The following is a 19,626-nucleotide window of genomic DNA, read 5'->3' on the forward strand; positions in this document are numbered from 1 at the left end:
CCTCTCCTCAGGTCCCCCTATTCCTGGAGACACAACAATATTAAAGTTAGGCCAATTAATAACTCTACCATGGCCTCTCAGTGTTCAAGTGAAAGGAAACGTTACACATTTCTCACACTCAAAGCTAGAAAATGATTAAGCTTAGTGAGGAAGTTATGTTGAAAGCTGAGATAAGCCAAAAGCTAGGCAGCCCTCTTGCACCAAATAGCCAAGTTGTGAATGCAAAGGAAAAACTCTTGAAGGAAATTAAAAGGGCCACTTCAGTGAACACACGAATAATAAGAGAGACACGCTTACTGTTGATATAGGGAAAGTTTTAGTGATCTGAACAGAAGATCAAACCAGCTGTAATTCCCCTCAAACCAAAGTCTAATCCAGAGCAAGGCCCTAACTCTCTTCAATTCTATATAGGCTGAGAGAGGTGAGGAAGCCACAGAAGAAAGCTGGAAGCCAGCAAAGGTTGGTTCATGAGGTGAAAGGAAAGAAGTCATCTTTACAACATAAAAGTGCAAGGTGAAGCAGCAAGTGCTGATGAAGAAGCTACAGCAAGTTATCAAGAAGATCTAGCTGAGATAATTGATGAAAATGGCTAAACAACAGATTTTCAATTCAGACAAAATAGCCTTACATCAGAAGAAAATGCTAGAGAGAAATCAATGCCTCATTTCAAAGTTTCAAAGGACAGGCTGACGCTTCTTAGAGGCTAATGGGTGAATGTAGCTGGTGACTTTACGTTGAAGCCAATGCTCATTTACCCTTCCAAAAATCCTAGGGTCTTTAAGAATTATGCTAAATCTATTCTGTCCATGCTCTAAAAGTAGGTCAACAAAAGCCTGGGTGACAGCACATCCGTTTACAGCATGGTTTACTGAATATTTTAAGCTCACTGTTGAGAACTACTACTCAGAAAAAAAAAAAAAAGATTCCTTTCCAAATATTACTACTCATTGACAATGCACCTAGTCACCCAAGAGCTCCAATGAACATATACAAGGAGATTAAAGTTGTTTTCATGCCTGCTAATAGTACATCCATTCTGCAGGCCACAGATGAAGGAGTAACTTCAACTTTCAAGCCTTATTATTTAAGAAATAAATTTTGTAAGACTATATCTGCCACAGTGATTCCCTGATAGATCTGGCCAAAGTAAATTGAAAACCTCCTGGAAAGAACTCATCATTCTATATGCCATTAAGAACATTCTTGATTCACAGGAGGAGGTCAAAATATCAACATTAACGGGAGTTTGGAAGACATTCATTCCAACTTTCATGGATGACTTTGAGGGATTCAAGTCTTCAGTGGAAGAAGTAACTTCAGATGGAATGGAAATAGCAAGAGATCTAGAACTAGAAGTGAAGCCTGAAGATGTGACTGAATTGCTGCAATCTCATGATAAAACTGGAATGAATGAGGAGTTGCTTCTTATGGATGAGCAAAGAAAGTGGTTTCTTCAGATGAAATCTACTTCCAGTGAAGATGTTGTGAACATTGTTTGAAATGGCAACAAAGGGTTTAGAATATTACATACACTTAGTTGATAAAGCAGCAGCAGGGTTTGAGAAAACCAATTCCAATTTTGAAAGAAGTTGTACTGTGGGTAAAATGCTGTCAAACAGCATCTCATGCTACAGAGAAATCTCTCATAAAATAAAGAGTCAATTGATGTGGCAAACTTCATTGTTGTCCTATTTTAACAAATTGCCTTAGACATCCCAACCTTCAGCAATCATCACCCTGATCAGTTAGCAGCCATCAACAACGAAGCAAGATCTTCCACCAGCAAAAAGATTACTACTCGCTAAAGGCTCATATGATCATTAGCATTTTTTAGTTGTAAAGCATTTTTACTTAAAGTACGTACATTGTTTTTAGACATAATACGATCGCAAACCTAATGGACTATAGTATAGTATATACTGTACTGTATACAACAAATATTTTGGTTTCCCAGTGCATATATACCGTAGTATACAATATATTGTATATATGCATCAGAAAACCAGAATATTTGTGTAGCTTGCTTCATTGTGATAATAGGCCTTATTTCAGTGGTCTGGAACCTAACCCGCAATATCTCTGAGATATACCTGTACATATTCCCCCTCTTATTGATTCTGAAAAAAAAATGATTTTAAGAACTTAAGAAAAACTAGAGATGAAAACAGAGTATACCCGATAACAAAAAGCAAATGTAAATTAGTAAGATACTATAAAACAAGAAGTGGAGCCATAATGTGCAGGAAACAACAAAAGAAGAAAACTTTGAATAGGGAAAAAATAAGCAGGAGAGTCATAAGGTCCTCTTCCCCAGAGGAAAAAAAAAAAAAAGAAATGACACTTTTATGAAGTATACAGTCAACCAAAAGCAAAGAGATAATTTAAGAACTGTGAGTCCAGGAAACTGTAATCTCAGTTTCAAGGGTGCCTATGAGATATATGGCAATATCATGTCTTAAGATTCTAAGGCCAGGCGCACTGGCTCATGCCTGTAATCCCAGCACTTTGGGAGGCCAAGGTGGGTGGATAACGAGGTCAGGAGTTCGAGATCAGCCTGGCCAACATGGTGAAACCCTGTTTCTACTAAAAATACAAAAATTAGCCAGGTGTGGTGGCACGCACCTGTAATCCCAGCTACTCAGAAAGCTGAGTCAAGAGAATTGCACGAACCCCGGAGGCGGAGGTTCCAGTGAGCCGAGATCACACTACTGCACTCCCACCTGGGCTACAGAGCAAGACTCTGTCTCCCAAAAAAAAAAAAAAAGATTCCAATTATATAACATTCTTCAGCTTCCTTTGAAAGCTATAATGTCAAAACATATACATATAAAAAAGATAGGACTTAGCTTTCAGTACATGATAAAAATGTTTATATATATATTATATCACTGAGAACCACTGCAAAAAAATAATTCAAAGGAAATAAAGGGTCATATAAATAAATAATTTCAGACAAACTTCTACACCAGTTTAAAAGAAGCTCCGAAGACAATAGGACAATTTTTTTTTTTTTGAGACGAAGTCTCTCTCTGTCGCCAAGTTGGAGTGCAGCGGCACAGTCTTACCTCACTGCAACCTCCACCTCCTGGGTTCAAGCAATTCTCCTGCGTCAGCCTCCCAAGTAGCTGGGATTACAGGCACGCACCACTATGCCCAGCTAATTTTTGTATTTTTAGTAGAGATGGGGTTTCACCACGTTGGCCAGGCTGGTCTTGAACTCCTGACCTCATGATCCGCCCGCCTCGGCCTCCCAAAGTGCTGGGATTACAGGCGTGAGCCACCGCGCCTGGCAATAGGACAATTTTTTAAAACACTGAAATGAAATGAACATTTATCTCAAAGTAATAAAGGCATTGATTTCTTCCACATATTTAATGACAATGAGAACAAAAAGCCATTCAAAAAAGAAGCTGCATTGTACTAGAAAATTCTGTTAAAGCATATTTTTATCTTTAAAACAGCAACTTTCTGCTGTAAAACATGGCAAATGACGTACCTATCATTAACTTTTATTTCTTATGTTAACACAGTAGGAAATCATATCAGATCAATTCAAGAAGACTTGTTAAAACAGACCCTTATAACACACTATGGTCTTGCATCATATCAGAGAATACTAATACAACTTATCCTGAATTGGTCCTAAATTTTCACAAATTAAAATATGTCCAAGATTGTCCCAAGGGCTCACCTGGGAGCAAATAAAGTTACTACTATAGATAAGAAAATCTTGAATGAAAAGCAACTGCTGAGGAAAAAAAACCTTCTATGAGGAAACAGAAGAGTCTTCTGTTGATAAAACTGAGATCTGTAAAAATGCGAAGAGACTAGAGTGAGAGAAGTAGAAAGTAATGTCATAAAGCAAACGAGCAGTTAATATGGGGTTTGAGGCACAGTAGTTTCAGCTTATCCAAGGGCAGTCCAGAATGGCACCTAGAAATGGGCTTAGTGAGATGTCACACCCATTCCCAATTCCCACCATGGTTGCATGGTATCAGTAAAAGAATCTCCTCTCTCTTTGACAAAAATATACTAACTAAATACCAAATGAAAATCCATCTTATGAAAATTTCATACTTTAATGAGAATATGTTCAACAATGAATAAACACTTGGCTCAGTGAGGATAGTTATTGTTTAGAATCACATTAAGTCTAGCTTTTTCGTCATGTCTACCACATGAAACAATGAAGAGAGAAAAAGACTCAAGGTGACAGAGGACAGTGATCCCTGCAGAATAAATCTAGGTTAAACTTAAAAATACTGTTCTTATATTATATAAACAGTAGAGATAGTAAGCATAGCCAATGAAAAATACAATATACACATAACTTGTTTGGCTAGTTGTCTATAATATTCAAGAATATGTATCATAATACTAGCAGTTTTAAGAGATTAAAAGCAAGATACATTGTTTCTCTAGATCAGTTTATAAGGAAAATATACAACATATACTCTGGTATCATAGAAATATAAACTGGTTTTTCTAATAAGAACTTGTTGATTCCTTTAAAAATTCAATCCATTAGTCAATTCATTATTGAAGAAGGAAAGAAGAAAGGGAAGGAGGGAGGCAAAGGAAGAGAGGAAGAAGGAAAGAAAGGAAATTCTTCTAAAGTATTATAATTTCACCAATGTATCAGCAATTTCTGTAACAGTTCTTTAAAGGGAAGAACTTTTAAGAAACTCGGTTTATGGGGTTTAGAAACATTAAGTTCTAAACTTTCTAACTAAACCTGCTTAGTTAAGTTATACCTAGAATATCAATTGACCTTCCTCCTCTTCCTTCCCACATACCTTTTTATCTCTTTCTCTGTCTCTCCTCCTTCCCATTCTCTCTTCCTTTCACTCTTTTCCTCTCTGTCTCTCTCTCTCTCACACACACACGTAATGTGTTTAATTCCATTATTAGTTCAAAATAAGGTAATCCAAAAGAAACTCTCTAGAGAAATGGTAGAAAGAATAAAAACACACATCAACTTAAATATGTCAAAGAGCCATATCATTTATTGGCTACATTCCCAAAACCATTCTTGTTCTAGATAAACCAATTGTGTCTGGTCTGGACAAGTGTGGCTCCAAAATCTCAGGCAGTTTACTTCTGTCAGTGGTATTATTAGAAACAGCAGGGGGAGGAAACAATCCCAATCTTAAATCCCAGTGTGCAAATATCACAGTTCTAGGTGTTCCAAAAGTTTTATATATCATTGTCCATCTCTACAAATATCAGCTTGGATAAGGCATCTCAGTGATTATAAGTTTCCTCAACATCCCTAACAAATCCACAGGTAGAAGAATTAAACACCATGCAGAGATAAGTTCCACTTTAACCTGCAATTCACCCAGAGCTTTAGTTTCAGATTGTAGCAACTCACATAACTGGACAACATTTGGATCTATATTAGTCCAGTATAGCAGAGTTCAAGGCTGTTCATATAAGTTTTGATTCAAAACTCTTGAGAAACTCTTTACAGTTGATCTCACCTTCCATATAATGTCAAAACAAAACAAAACAAAAACAGTCCCAAACTAGGATCCTTTGGAACAAAGTTAACCTGGGGTGCATCTAAGCTAAACTGAATCCCCAAGTTCAGAATATAATCAACTATGCTTCAGGAATTCACTAGATCTTGATCAATTCCAATAATAAAAGTTGTTGAGGAGGGAGGAAAAAAACAGGTGTTTGCCCCATTTGGGGAACTTGACAATCATGTTATTGGATAATGCATATATCTGGAAAAGCACAATAGTCACGAAAGTTGTGCTTTATCACAAAAGTGAAGATTTACACTAGAATAAATCCAAATAATAAGTCTATTTTTTAACCAAAAGATAAATTATAAAGCTGTAATTTTGTTCAGTGCAAATGAAATTACTTTGCTACCTTTCACAATTCTGTAATTAGTTTGATAAATATTAAACCCATGAGGAAGAGCTCCACTGCACAAGTTTCTTTTTTAAAGACTGCTTAAAAGTAACCTTCAACAAGCTAAGAAAACAAGCTAAAGGAGACTCCAAATCTGCGGTACTGAATCTATTCTTATTACCAACGGTGATATAAACAACCTGATTTATGAAATCATAAATATCTATCAATAAATACTATAGTCTTGCTTCCTTTTACTTTAGTAAAATAATATTACTGAATTATGTACCACTGAAACTATATTACAATAAATATTTCCCCCAAACTGAAGCAAAACTTTACTCTCAAATGGAATATAATTTAAATTACAAGTACCAGAACCAACAAAAGGGAGAAATATTATATAGCAACCTTATGGCCCACCTGTCTTCTTGACTGGCATTCTTGGGTCTTTCCACTGCCACAGGAGTCAATATCTCTTTTCAGGTCTCAGTTTGATCCAGCTGGATTGAGGCCAAGAGCCAGGTAACTGTTGCAAACCACTTCAGTGTTCAGTTTTGAAATCCAGGCTGAGTCTTCTATGTCAGACAAAGAAAATAATGATGTATTTTTTCCACAACTAAACTTTTTACACCGCCCACAGAGTTTACAGCAACGTAATTTTTTAGTTTTTCAAGTTTTTCAATTTTCAGAAAATATTTAGACTGTTTTTACAAACTGGGAAAATTATTGTAAACATGAAGAACGTTACTGAAATTCCTCTTCAGGCAGCAACATTTTTGGAAGTTCAATGACTAACTCAATTAAGGCACAAACCAAATTTAGACAGGTCTCATTACTTTATACATGGTCAAATTCAAAGATGATGATAAAGATACTCAAATCTGTAGAGAAAAATGTAACCCCACCTCCCCAAAAATACTTTTAAAAATCTCTTTGACTCCAGTCTCTAAAAAGATAGGTGAGTTTGAACAGTTTTCTGTGGCAGAACACACATTGAAAGGCCCCCTTATATTTACTGATCAGAAGTTCCGGATCTCACCCCCTCAGTAACTCAGAATCCAGCTTGCTGTCCCTTTCATTTTTTTCTTCTGTGCTCTCCAAGCCCCCAGGCTTGATCCTTAATGCCCCTCTGATTCTGATCCTCCCATGTATTAACCGAGAGGATTGAAAAAAAAGGAAAGCAATCCCTTGGCATGGAGACATTAAAGTGACAGTGCTACTCAATGGGCACTTGATGCAGGATGAGTTGGCGAAGCAGATTTCTTCACACTGGAGTCATTCACATCATGCCATCTCTTCGCATTCAAGCAGCTCCCTATCCGGCGAGGAAAAACACTGAGACTTCGAGAGAAGCCAAACCTTCCCCCAAAGGTGTTTTCAGAGACGCCGTAGTAGTATTAGACATGTAAGCATAAGCTATGTAAACGGTCCGCGATTTCCTAAATGAGAAAGTGCAGCTGCTTGGCTTTCACATCCACCTTTTCTCTCAATCTCTCTTCAAACTACCCACCTTCCTTTTGCAGAAAAGACAAGACATTTCTTTGCCACCGCTGGCCACCCCTGCCCAAGCCCCGTTCTTTTAGGGAAGAGCACTGAAATGTCCTGCACCCTCCACGCGATGAAGTGTTTCCTCAGGCAGGAGCAACAGCAGCACTAGAAATTATATAACTCTCGAATTTGGCTTCTGTAAGACATGGAGACTGGAGGGTCGGGGGTTGCCGGTCTGGGAGATACTGCTGGGCATTTAACGTGCACAAAACAGCGCCAGGCCTTGCAGTGCCCCCCACCCCGAGACACGGCTGACAAGTGGGTCTTCTCGCGGGGGTAGTGGGCAAATTTCTCTCCGGTCTCTTTCCAAGCGGGGCTAAAGGATGCAAATTGAGGGGACTACAGACTGGGGAGAGGAGTCAGACGGCTGAGAGGAGAGGAGGCTAGTCGGGGCTGCTCTGACGGCGCTGGGCGGCTGGTCCGGGGTTTGGAGGAGGAGGTGCCCGAGAAACAGAGCTTTAACACCACACAGGCCAGGGCAAAGGGGCGAGTTCCCTCAAGGACTGAAAGGGGCAGGCAGCTAGTTCCCAGCTGCCCTGAGGAGAGGCAGGAGCGCAGTAACATTACAACATTCGGGCCGCCCCATCTTTCCCGCAGGACGCGAAGAGATCAGGGAGCTAAGCTGATAAATAGTCAGGGAAGGAAATACTCGGCTGGCGAGGGGGGCAGGCCCACAGGCGCCTGGACCTCCTCTAAGCGAATAAGTGGCCGTAATTTCTAGACGCCGCGCCCAATCACAGTCAGGATGGAGGGCGCGGCTTTTGACTGAGTGGGGGCGGGCCCGGGCTGCAATCGAGAGGCGTTGAGCCGTAAATCAGCACCACTTCCCGCCCAGGGCGTTCTGGGTCCCCGCCCACCGGCAAGTCACATGAGCCACCAAAATGGTGGTGTTCGGGTATGAGGCTGGGACTAAGCCAAGGGATTCAGGTGTGGTGCCGGTGGGAACTGAGGAAGCGCCCAAGGTAGGCGGAAATCCGAAGTGGTATGGGGGGTGATTTCTGCACCTTCAAAGTGTTGGCAGACTCTTCTAAGATGATACCTTTAAAGGAGATTTGAAAAGTTAAAACAGCTCCCAAGTCCATGCAAGGAGCAGTCGATTAAGTCTCCAGTTGCTGTGGAAAGAGGCGGAGAGAACGTAGATGACCTAAATTCTAGTCCTCATTATCTGCAGTTTGTTTTCTCTTGTCTCCAGGCCTTTGCACAGGCTTTTTCTTCAACTTGGAGTATTTCCCTGCTTCTATCCGTCCCAACTCCCCTGCCAAACTGTTCTCTTTCGGTTATTGATTTAAATGTCACTTCTTCCGGGAAGCCTTCCCACGCTTCCTCTGGCTAGATTGTTTGCTTTTTCTTAGGTTGTTGGGTTTTTCGTTTATGTCACTCTCTCATTCTGTGTTTAAATTGCCAGCTTTTTTGTTCTGAACTCCCACTGCGTTGTGGATTCCTGAGGATGGGATGACTGTATCTTGATTACCCGGAGGTCTGGCATATACCACGTGCTCCCTAAATTATGAGCGAATGTTGAATAAAATTCTAAAGGTGAAATTTATTATTAGGTGAAAAATTTATTATTAGGTAAAATAATACACATGAAAGCACTACAAAACCGTTAGATGATTTGCAAACTATAAACCTACATAAATGCACTCTTACTGGTATAAGCGTGGTGACTAGTTGAGTGGCCTTAAGGGGGAAGGGGTGTAATGAAAGCACTGGAGTCTTTGACAGTGCCTTGCAAAGCTTAAGCACTCAAATATTTCCTGTGTTCTTTCCAGTATTTCAGTATTTGCTGTCCTGTAATCATAATCCTGGGTGTCTGTTTTCCCTATAGAGACTTTAGGGTGTAGACTAGGTAGGAGATTAGTAGAAGATATTGCCTGGAAGTTTGTTTTGTTTTTTGTTTTTGGTGGAAGGTGGAGGATTTCAATGAATTGGATGAGAGCAAAACAAAAATTTATCTATGGTTTATGGTTACTCATGTTATTGACGTCTGCCAAGACAGCAGATGTCTTAGTACAATAGATGGGTTAGGTATAGAATCTCCCTTAGATGTTACTATCCCTTATACTTTCCATTTGGGTGTCAGGGAGAGGGAAAAGATGTAAGTCTAGTCACTGAAAAATTGTAATTTGTAAAATATTTTACCTTTTTTTCCCCCTGCCCTCTCCAGAAATGTTACAGAAAAAGATTGAGTACATTTCTGCCATGATGCAGAGAAAGAAACTGGTCCATTATTACTCATTGTGTAACACCATAAGAAGGTTCAAAGGAGCTCATACCTTCTGTATGTTGATGCCAGGAACTGTGTATAATGAACTGGCCTTCTATAGTTAGGATTGGTACATACCGCTCATTCAGCAAATGAGTATTACAGTGATATTCAACATGTGTCCATTGACTACAGCATCAGAAGCACTAAGTGCTATTAAAATGCAGATTCTAGGCCTCATCCTACTCCTGCTGAATCCAGGTATCTCAGGAGGGAATTCATGAGACTGCATTTCAAATAAATACCCCATGTGATTCTTGTGCATGCTGAAGGTTGAGAACCACTGATTTATTAAGTATCTTGTGTGTTCATTATGCTTTATCCCCTCTAATCCTCTTGTCTAGGACTCCTTAAATTTGAGATTTAGTATTTCCCTTTAATATAAACATTAAAATTGAGATTAGTGTAAATTTGTAAAGAGACTATTTAGCTAATCTGGAGGAAAAAGAGTAAAAAGCACTGAATTTAGCAGCAATAGACCTTCCACTTGGCTGCTGTAGTAGGTAAACATTTGCAACCACGTGTTTGGATTTAACAAATGTTATTAAGACTTTTCACAGAGACTCTAGAGTCTTGCCCAGAGCAAAACATTCAGAAACGATCCTCTCTGAGAGTGCAGGGTTTGTTTTTTTGTTGTTGTTGTTTTGTTTTGTTTTTTAACCTGTCTAGTTTCTGTTAAGATGCTACTGGCCAGGTCTTCATGGTCCCTTGACATTGGCAGCTGTCTGTTCATCACACTTGGGACACAAGAACCTTCCGACCAAGGAGCCCAGTGCCATGGGTCTCTGGGGCCGGGCACGGTGGCTCACGCCTTTAATCCCAGCACTTTGGGAGGCTGAGGCAGGTGGATCACCTGAGGTCAGGAGTTCGAGACCAGCCTGGCTATCATAGTGCAATCCTGCCTCTACTAAAAATACAAAAATTAGCCGGGTGTGGTGGCAGGTATGGGTCTCTGCTATACCACATGACCATTTCTAGCAAAGGCTCTGCTTCCACCACAGGTGGTAATAGGGAACTGGATATATAATTTATGTACTCCAAAGTAGTAGCCACAATCCACTGCCTGTTCCCTTCCTGGAGCAGTGTCCCTCTTTCTGATTTTTCTCTCTCACTATTCTCCAAGGCAATCCCTGCTCTCTCCTACCTCTCTAGGAAATGAAACACGATTTCCAAAATGAACTTAATCTTTCATGAGAAACTGAGGATAGAGATGTCAATAAGCAGCCACTGTTTCCACCTCCCCACCTGAAGAGCTAGGAGGACAACTACAAAGAGCCTGACTGCCTTCTCGGAATGAGGAGAGAGGAAAACAGCAACAGTATCAGTATGTTAGCCTTCTACACTAAATCTCAAGCAAGCCAACCTTTCAGACCTTCAGTTTGCTCATATGTATAGAAATAATCATTATACTACCAATTTCTCAAGTTAGTGTGTAAATCAGAAAGCCAATGTCTGTATTGTAGGATGTTTAGCAAGAAAATAAAAAATAATAACAAAAAGCCAATGTCTAACAGATAATAAGAGCTCAGTAAATGTTGATTGAATTACTAACAAAGTATGTGAAAGCAGACGACACAGTACCTGGCACACTACTAAACTGTAAATGTTTTCAAATCTGAATCTGTAGAATTCTGTAAGGTTTTATGTAATATGAATATCATTAGCTATTATGGCTCTGGAATTTTTTTTTCCAGGTTTTCAAGATGGCAGCATCTATGCATGGTCAGCCCAGTCCTTCTCTAGAAGATGCAAAACTCAGAAGACCAATGGTCATAGAAATCATAGAAAAAAATTTTGACTATCTTAGAAAAGAAATGTAAGAGAAATGCCCAGGCTGAAAATCAGTCATTTTATTTGCAAGTCTTTTGTATTGCCATTGTTTCTAAGATCCTATTCTTTCTTACCTTTTCTGTTATCTAAGATCCTATTCTTTGAGTTGGCTATGAAGAACACATCTTTAAAAAAAAGAATGGGGGAAACAAGAACAGATGAAAATGGTGGTTTGTTGGAATATTTCGGATTGTGGATAATTTCTTTTGTTTCTTAAAAAGTATCCAAAAGTATTGCTAAAACTTTTGTGCAGTAAATGTATTTTAATTAAAAGTAATTAGGAGAAAACCATTGAGGGGGGTACTTATATTTAATTGGTGAGTAATTATAATCAGTTTAGGATTGATTATCTCAGCCACAGTACTTAGTACAGCAAAAGGGAATACAGATTTCATGGTATAAATATAGTCTCACATTAACATATTGACTTTTTTTTTTGAGATAAGAGTCTCACTCTGTCACCCAGGCTGGAGTGCAGTGGCACAATCTCGGCTCACTGCAATCTCCAGCTCCCAGGTTCAAGTGATTCTCCTGCCTCAGCCTCCCAAGTAGCTGGGATTACAGGCGTGTACCACCACAACCAGCTAATTTTTGTATTTTTAGTAGAGATGGTTTAACCATGTTGGCCAGACTGGCCATTTTGACTTTTAAATGAACAAAGTTCAAGAAAAAAATCAAAGGACAGTTGATGTTATTTCCTGGATTTACATATGGGTCTTAATAAGAAAACTAAATCAGATTTTTTTGGATGAAGTTTTATAAATCTTGGACAAATTATTTTATTTTATTTTATTTTATTTCATTTTCTGTTTTATGGCTTTATTGAAGTATAATTTATATATCTTGACATTCATCCATTTAAAGTGTACAGTTATATGAGTTTTAGCAAATTTATACAGTTATGTAACCATCACCACAATTAAAATTTGGAATACTTCCAACATCCCCAAAAAGTTCCCTCATTCCCTTTTATTTTTTTTTATTTTATTATTATTATACTTTAAGTTTTAGGGTACATGTGCACAATGTGCAGGTTAGTTACATATGTATACATGTGCCATGCTGGTGTGCTGCACCCATTAACTCATCATTTAGCATTAGGTAGATCTCCTAAAGCTATCCCTCCCCTCTCCTCCCACCCCACAACAGTCCCCAGAGTGTGATGTTCCCCTTCCTGTGTCCATGTGTTCTCATTGTTCATTTCCCACCTATGAGTGAGAATATGCGGTGTTTGGTTTTTTGTTCTTGCAATAGTTTACTGAGAATGATGATTTCCAACTTCATCCATGTCCCTACAAAGGACATGAACTCATCATTTTTTATGGCTGCATAGTATTCCATGGTGTATATGTGCCACATTTTCTTAATCCAGTCTATCATTGCTGGACATTTGGGTTGGTTCCAAGTCTTTGCTATTGTGAATAGTGCCACAATAAACATACGTGTGCATGTGTCTTTATAGCAGCATGATTTATAGTCCTTTGGGTATATACCCAGTAATGGGATGGCTGGGTCAAATGGTATTTCTAGTTCTAGATCCCTGAGGAATCGTGACACTGACTTCCACAATGGTTGAACTAGTTTACAGTCCCACCAACAGTGTAAAAGTGTTCCTATTTCTCCACATCCTCTCCAGCACCTGTTGTTTCCTGACTTTTTAATGATTGCCATTCTAATTCATGTGAGATGGTATCTCATTGTGGTTTTGATTTGCATTTCTCTGATGGCCAGTGATGGTGAGCATTTTTTCATGTGTTTTTTGGCTGCATAAATGTCTTCTTTTGAGAAGTGTCTGTTCAGGACAAATTATTTTAAATGTATCTGGGACTAATGAAGAAATAGAAGGCCTAACCAAATGTAAACAGCTTTTTTTTAGATGAACTTAAGCAAAGTAAATCTTTTAGTTGCAGGAAAGGTATTCTTGGATTTGGGTAGCTCATAAAATTTGGCTGCATTGGAACATATTTATATTTATTTGTGGCCAAAATTATTTAAAAGAGCTCTATTTTAGAATTACTGTAAATATTCTTAGAAAGAGAATCATGTCCTCTCATTAGAATACAAGTTCTATGAGGGGTGGGAAATTTCTTTTTTTCTTTTGCTTTGTTTACTGTCCTATCTTAAGCACTTAGAAAATACTTTTCACATATAGTAAGTGCTCAAGAAATATTTGATATTGATATGCAATAACAACTTTTCAGGAGAGGCTGTATCCATTAAGTTCAATGGTATAGTGAACTGAATTTTTCTTTTTTTCTATTAGGACACAAAATATATATCAAATGGCGACATTTGGAACAACAGCTGGTTTCTCTGGAATATTCTCAAACTTCCTGTTCAGACGCTGCTTCAAGGTTAAACATGATGCTTTGAAGACATATGCATCATTGGCTACACTTCCATTTTTGTCTACTGTTGTTACTGACAAGCTTTTTGTAATTGATGCTTTGTATTCAGGTGAATTTAAATTCACTAATGTATAACGTAGTTATGTCTAAGTAAAGTTACTTATTAACATATACTGTTGCTACTGCTAATAATAATTCTTTACATTTATATATTGCTATACAGTTTACAAAGTCCATATACCTTGTCATATTTAATCCCTGCAACAATCCTCCTAATCAGGTAAACTGTATTTTTTTATTTCTGTAGATAAGCAACCCAAACTGAGGCATGTTCAAGTACGCTAATAAGCAACATACTGGGAAAAGAATTGGCTGTGGCATACAACGCACATCATTTCAGTATGCTACCTCCTGCCACTTAAGTTTTGTGACATTCAGTAAGGCATTTCATCTCTGAGCCTCCGTTGTCTTATCTATAAGTTAGGACTAATAGTACTTACCTCACAGGATTGTTGTGAGAATTAAAAGATACTGTAGGTTAAATGACTACCACAATATCTGTCATATTATGGGCTTTTAATGTTATTTCCTGCCCCTCACCTTACCTTGAGTTTCACAACTAGTAATTGATAGAGCATCTATCCCTTGTTCATTCTTCAGGTTCCTGCTTAAGTATCTTTTCCCCAGGGAGACCTCTGATTGCCTCATTGTACACTAGGTGTCTGGATACATTCTCTATATAGTTTATCTTCAAAGTATTGTGTACACTGATAATTATCTATTTAAATATTTATCTCGTGTCTTTCATCTCTGTAAACTGGCCAGAAGGTCAGAGATCAGGTCTCTTTTATGTACCACCGTATTCCTAGCTCCTAGCACGTTCCTGATATATAGTAGATAATAAAAATGTATTAACCTAGAATCCAGGTCTGGTTTGCTAGTTTAGTATTGTCATTATAAAATTGTTTCTGGCTGGGCACGGTGGCTCATGCCTATAATCCCAACACTTTGGGAGGCCAAGACAGGCAGATCACTTGAGGTCAGGAGTTCGAGACCAGCCTGGCCAACACAGTCTCTACTAAAAATAGAAAAACAGTTGAGCATGGTGGTGCAAGCTTATAATCCCAGCTACTTGGGAGGCTGAGGCATGAGAATTGCTTGAACCCTGGAGGCAGAGGTTGCAGTGAGCCGAGATCGTGCCACTGTACTCTAGCCTGGGCAACAGAGTGAGACTCCGTCTCCAAAAAATAAAATAAAATTGCTTCTACAACAACCACATACGTTAGAGGTAATTCTCTATGTGATAAAGTATAATAAAAACTTTTTAAAATGTGCTGCATTTGGCCTGTTATATGCCACAGAGTTTGAATTTCTAATATTCTTTCTATGGTTTAGTTGTGGTTGAGGATAGTGCAGATAACTACTCTGTGAGGTACAACACTGTCTTAATAGCTCTTGAGTTTTAAAGGAAAACCAAATTTACTTTTGTTTTCCAGATAATATAAGCAAGGAAAACTGTGTTTTCAGAAGCTCACTGATTGGCATAGTTTGTGGTGTTTTCTATCCCAGTTCTTTGGCTTTTACTAAAAATGGACGCCTGGCAACCAAGTAAGTTCTTCCTTTTCCTTCTTTTTTCTTTTCTTTTCTTTTCTTTTTTTTTTTTTTTTTTAGGTTAATAAACTCTCTTTCTTCTTTAGCTGTCTATGATATATTTGAATCAAAATGTGGTAGTTTGGTATTTCAGATAGCTAACTTTTAACTTTTTTGCTCTCTACATTATAGATCTAGAAAGGCAATTATCAATTTAGGAGAAGTCAACAAACTTCTAATAGCATTCATATCCAGGAGAGGTGATTAACTCTTTTTTCTTTTTAGGTATCATACCGTTCCACTGCCACCAAAAGGAAGGGTTTTAATCCATTGGATGACGCTTTGTCAAACACAAATGAAATTAATGGCGATTCCTCTAGTCTTTCAGATTATGTTTGGAATATTAAATGGTCTATACCATTATGCAGTATTTGAAGAGACACTTGAGAAAACTATACATGAAGAGTAACCAAAAAAATGAATGGTTGCTAACTTAGCAAAATGAAGTTTCTATAAAGAGGACTCAGGCATTGCTGAAAGAGTTAAAAGTAACTGTGAACAAATAATTTGTTCTGTGCCTTTTGCCTGGTATATAGCAAATACTCAAAAAGTATTCAATAATTCAATCAATAAATATAAGTTTCATCTTACACGTAAGATACAGGTCTTATCTCCTGATGGTGTGTCCATTTTGCCTGGTATATAACAGATAATAAATATCCAGTGTCAATAAATGTAACAATAAAAGTTTCATCTTTCCTCTTTGTATGTGGAAATGGGTTTGGGCTTTAAGGTCTCATCTGTGCAGTTATATATTCATTCATTCATCAAACATTTATTGAGCTATTTCTCAGGCACTGTGTTAAATATAATAAGAAACATTCTGGCTGGGCATGGTGGCTCTCGCCTGTAATCCCAGCACTTTGGGAGGCCAGGGAAGGCGGATCACCTGAGGTTAGGAGTTTGAGACCAGCCTGGCCAACATGGCAAAACCTCGTCTCTACTAAAAGTACAAAAGAATTGGCTGGGCATGATGGTGTATGCCTGTAATCCCAGTTACTTGGGAGGCTGAGGCAGGAGAATCGCTTGAACCCAGGAGGCGGAGGTTGCAGTAAGCTGAGATCTCACCACTGTGCTCCAGCCTGGGCAACAGAGCAGAACTCCATATCAAAAAAAAAAAAAAGAAAGAAAACAAACATTCCTTACCTAGAAGGAACTCAATTGAGGAGGAGTAAGTGTGAACACATACTATGAGAGGATTTGAGAGGTATACACATAATTCTGTAAGGGCACTGAGAGTATGTATGTTAACTAGGCAGAAGGAGAAGCTGTGGTGGAAAAAAGTAACAATTGAGCTAAATTTTGAAGGAGGAATTGGAAGTTCTTAAGAAAGGAAGATATGGGAATAACATATAGCCCATTTCTCTGCATTGATACTATCTTCTCATTTACAAATTGTCTTCACTATGTAGTTCAAAGAACTTGTTTTTAACCTTCAGTTCTGGTTTCCAAGAAAGAATATTTATTGAGTGCCTATCTATCTGCCATGCATTGAGATAGGTACCAGGGGTACAAAGATTCGTTGCTTGTCGCTAAAGAAGCTTAAAATCTAAAGAGTTTACAGCATGTTTCTTTAGAGTCTGCCAAGGCATCCCAGAGCTACACATTTATCTTAGTTCAGAAAATGAACATGGATGAGAATTACAGAATGGAACTGCACATCTCATTCTCCGTATCCTAACCATATTCATTTTGAGATTAAAAACGTGGTAATCTTGGAAGTATAGCAAAGTTGACTTAAGTTCACCTCTCTTACCACCAGAAAGCTGAATAGATTTGTACCTTACTCCGTGACTTCAGATTGTCTTTGTAAAGCTGGCAAGGCAATCAATATTTCCTTTAGCTTTGGAAAGCACTGCTTTCCAAAGTGACTATAAGAGGCCTGAAAGGAGAAATTAGGGAAACCTTGACCTTCTGGGCCTGAGCTCAAGGGTAAAGCCAGGTGAACCAGTGAAGAAAAGCAACATGTGCATAGGTGTGAAGTACAGCTTGGAGCTCCATTCAAGTTTCAAATCCTGGCCTCATTACTTACTAACAGGATAATCTTGAATAAGCTACCTCATCTCTCTGCACTTAAGTCTCCTTATCTATAAAATGAGGAATTAAAAACTGTACTCAGTCTCAAAGTGTTATATTAAATGAGTTAATATATGTAAATCAAAACAGTACCCAACTCATAGGAAGTCTATATGTATTAGCTGCTATCTTAGTCCACTTGGGCTACTGTAACAAAATAGCATAGACTGGGTGACTTATAAACAAGAGAAATTTATTTCTTATAGTTCTGGAAGCTAGGATTTGGTGTCCGATGAGGGCCTGCTTTCTGATTCATAGGTAATGCCTTCTTGTGTCCTCACAGGATGGAAGGGGCAAAAGAGCTCTCTGGAGCCTCTTTTATAAGGGTAATAACCTCATTCACGGGGCCTCTGCCCTCATGACCTAATCACTTCCCAAAGGCCTCACCACCTAATACCATCACCTTGGGGTTAGTATTTCAAAATACGAATTCAGGGGGCACAAACATTTAGACCACAGCCGTGGCAATTATTGTTGCTATTGCTGCATATCAAGTATTATGGTCCTTTTCCTAGTCTGTAGTTATCAGTCTAGCACTTCTGTAGAGAAGATTAGAAAAGTCCACCAAAGAGCATCCACAAGACATCTTTCATTTGAATAAATATGTATTCAGCCAATGTTGATTCAACACTCAATACTACAGGTTGAGCAAGTTACGTAAACTTTCTGTGTTTTCTCTTAAAACATATTAATAACTGCTTTATAGTGTGGTTATAAAGAGTAAAGTACATAGAACCATACCATACCACACCTGGCATGTAGAAGTTGCTCAGTAAATGTGTTTACATTGTCTGTTTTTCCTGATAGGTGTATAATAATAACTAAGATATGGTCCCTCTTATAAGAACTTACCTTCACTCTTACCTCTTCATTTCCCCTGACTCCCTTCACCATGTGATTTTCCCCCTGCTTTTGTGTTGTTATTGCATTGCACTGCATTGCTTTGGTTGTATTGTGTACTGATTTTCTCTCTGCTTTTGTACAATTGTTTTATCTTGCATTAACTATTCAGTTTTTGAATTTTCAAGTTTAAACAGTAATCTAATAATGAAGAAAGTGTTTTACACATGAGGTTGAATTTCATAGAATTTGTTCAACCACCTTCCTCAGCTTCATTAAAAAACAAAAAAAGAGTCTTCCAAAGATGCATAACCCATACTCCCCTAGCTTCATCATTCTAAAAAACAGGCAAACTAACATTAATAAACATGAATAATTGAATCTTGGTAGCCGTAAACCCCACCAGCTTCACTACAGGAACAAAGAAATCCACCCCAAAGTCTCCCCAAGATTAGACATTGCAGAAGAAAAGATTAGTGAACCCAAAGATGAAGCAAACTACAAAACTACCACAAGAAAGCTTGGGGGAAATTCTTCAGGACATTGAATTTGGCAACTATTTCTTGGATACAACATCAAAAGCACAAGTAGCAAAATCAAAAACAAGCAAATTGGGACAACACACTGAAAAACTTGTGTCTCAAAATAAAAAACAGCATGAAAAGGAAACCTAAAAAATGGAAGAAAATAATTGCAAATCATACATCTGATAAGTGGTTAGTATTCAGAATATATAAGGAACTTCTACAACTCAACAACAAAAACCAAATAACTTCAAAAACAAGCAAAGGACTTGAATAAACATTTCTCAAAAAAGAGATATCCGCTATCCAAAAAACAGAATGGCCACTATCCAAAAAACAGAAAATAACAAGTTAGAATCCTTGTGCACTGTGTTGTGAATGTTGCCATTATGGAAAACAGTATGGTGGTTCCTCAAAAAATTAAAATACCATGTGATACAGCATTCTCACTTCTGGATATATATCCAAAACAGAACAAGATCTTGAAGAGACCTTTGCACATTATTCACATTTGCACATTATATAGCCAACAGGTGGAAGCAACTCAAATGTCCTTCAACAGATTAATAAAGAAAATGTGGTATAATACCCACAACGAAATACTATGCAGCATTAAGGAAATCTTTCCACATGCTACAACATAAGTGAAACTTGAGGACATTACACAAAATGAAAT

At 38.2% G+C, this 19,626-nt stretch overlaps 2 protein-coding genes across 23 annotated transcripts in view, besides 8 other annotated features; one reads left to right on the forward strand and one right to left on the reverse strand.

The window, feature by feature from the left end:
* DLG2 (discs large MAGUK scaffold protein 2) overlaps positions 1-8,063 on the reverse strand; it is a 2,173,362-nt gene extending 2,165,299 nt beyond the window's left edge. For 5 of the 12 annotated variants that reach the window (NM_001351275.2, XM_017017257.3, XM_047426498.1 and 2 more), the window contains exon 1: positions 6,289-8,063. In NM_001351275.2, the coding sequence (NP_001338204.1) occupies positions 6,289-6,307 (19 nt within the window). In that variant the 5' untranslated portion in view covers positions 6,308-8,063. Of the gene's footprint in view, positions 1-6,276 lie in introns of all 12 variants that reach the window. The other 7 variants (NM_001351274.2, XM_017017256.3, XM_047426494.1 and 4 more) reach the window with 3 other exon arrangements.
* Positions 4,941-5,141: a silencer, noted in NCBI's record as "peak1374 fragment used in MPRA reporter construct". NCBI's record gives its function as "represses an SCP1 promoter by STARR-seq MPRAs in K562 erythroleukemia cells {active_cell/tissue: K562}" and the evidence as "EXISTENCE:reporter gene assay evidence [ECO:0000049][PMID:32103011]".
* Positions 7,080-7,588: an enhancer, noted in NCBI's record as "H3K27ac hESC enhancer chr11:85338434-85338942 (GRCh37/hg19 assembly coordinates)". NCBI's record gives its function as "activates a minimal SCP1, AML or CMV promoter by ChIP-STARR-seq in naive H9 embryonic stem cells {active_cell/tissue: H9 hESC(naive)}" and the evidence as "EXISTENCE:reporter gene assay evidence [ECO:0000049][PMID:30033119]".
* Positions 7,080-7,620: a biological region, named in NCBI's record as "H3K27ac hESC enhancer GRCh37_chr11:85338434-85338942".
* Positions 7,461-7,620: an enhancer, noted in NCBI's record as "active region_5361". NCBI's record gives its function as "activates an Ori minimal core promoter by ATAC-STARR-seq in GM12878 lymphoblastoid cells {active_cell/tissue: GM12878}" and the evidence as "EXISTENCE:reporter gene assay evidence [ECO:0000049][PMID:35858748]".
* Positions 7,701-7,750: an enhancer, noted in NCBI's record as "active region_5362". NCBI's record gives its function as "activates an Ori minimal core promoter by ATAC-STARR-seq in GM12878 lymphoblastoid cells {active_cell/tissue: GM12878}" and the evidence as "EXISTENCE:reporter gene assay evidence [ECO:0000049][PMID:35858748]".
* Positions 7,891-8,080: an enhancer, noted in NCBI's record as "active region_5363". NCBI's record gives its function as "activates an Ori minimal core promoter by ATAC-STARR-seq in GM12878 lymphoblastoid cells {active_cell/tissue: GM12878}" and the evidence as "EXISTENCE:reporter gene assay evidence [ECO:0000049][PMID:35858748]".
* TMEM126B (transmembrane protein 126B) lies at positions 8,263-16,230 on the forward strand. Of its 11 annotated transcripts, none has more exons than NR_146645.1 (6): positions 8,263-8,378; positions 10,835-11,006; positions 11,377-11,498; positions 13,776-13,866; positions 15,357-15,468; positions 15,736-16,230. NR_146645.1 is itself a non-coding variant. In NM_001193537.3 (6 exons), the coding sequence occupies exons 2-6, from the start codon at positions 8,932-8,934 to the stop codon at positions 15,917-15,919; spliced, it is 633 nt and encodes a 210-aa protein (NP_001180466.1). In that variant the 5' UTR covers positions 8,263-8,378; positions 8,822-8,931; the 3' UTR covers positions 15,920-16,230. The 11 variants fall into 11 exon arrangements, 9 of the variants coding, with proteins under 9 accessions (NP_001180466.1, NP_001243475.1, NP_001180467.1 ...); NM_001193537.3 differs by lacking the exon at positions 10,835-11,006 and adding an exon at positions 8,822-8,952 and having other exon boundaries at positions 13,776-13,969; NM_001256546.2 differs by lacking the exon at positions 10,835-11,006 and adding an exon at positions 8,822-8,893 and having other exon boundaries at positions 13,776-13,969.
* Positions 8,331-8,380: an enhancer, noted in NCBI's record as "active region_5364". NCBI's record gives its function as "activates an Ori minimal core promoter by ATAC-STARR-seq in GM12878 lymphoblastoid cells {active_cell/tissue: GM12878}" and the evidence as "EXISTENCE:reporter gene assay evidence [ECO:0000049][PMID:35858748]".
* Positions 8,471-8,550: an enhancer, noted in NCBI's record as "active region_5365". NCBI's record gives its function as "activates an Ori minimal core promoter by ATAC-STARR-seq in GM12878 lymphoblastoid cells {active_cell/tissue: GM12878}" and the evidence as "EXISTENCE:reporter gene assay evidence [ECO:0000049][PMID:35858748]".

Source organism: Homo sapiens, chromosome 11 (assembly GCF_000001405.40).
Source record: "Homo sapiens chromosome 11, GRCh38.p14 Primary Assembly".
Classification (NCBI taxonomy): domain Eukaryota; kingdom Metazoa; phylum Chordata; class Mammalia; order Primates; family Hominidae; genus Homo; species Homo sapiens.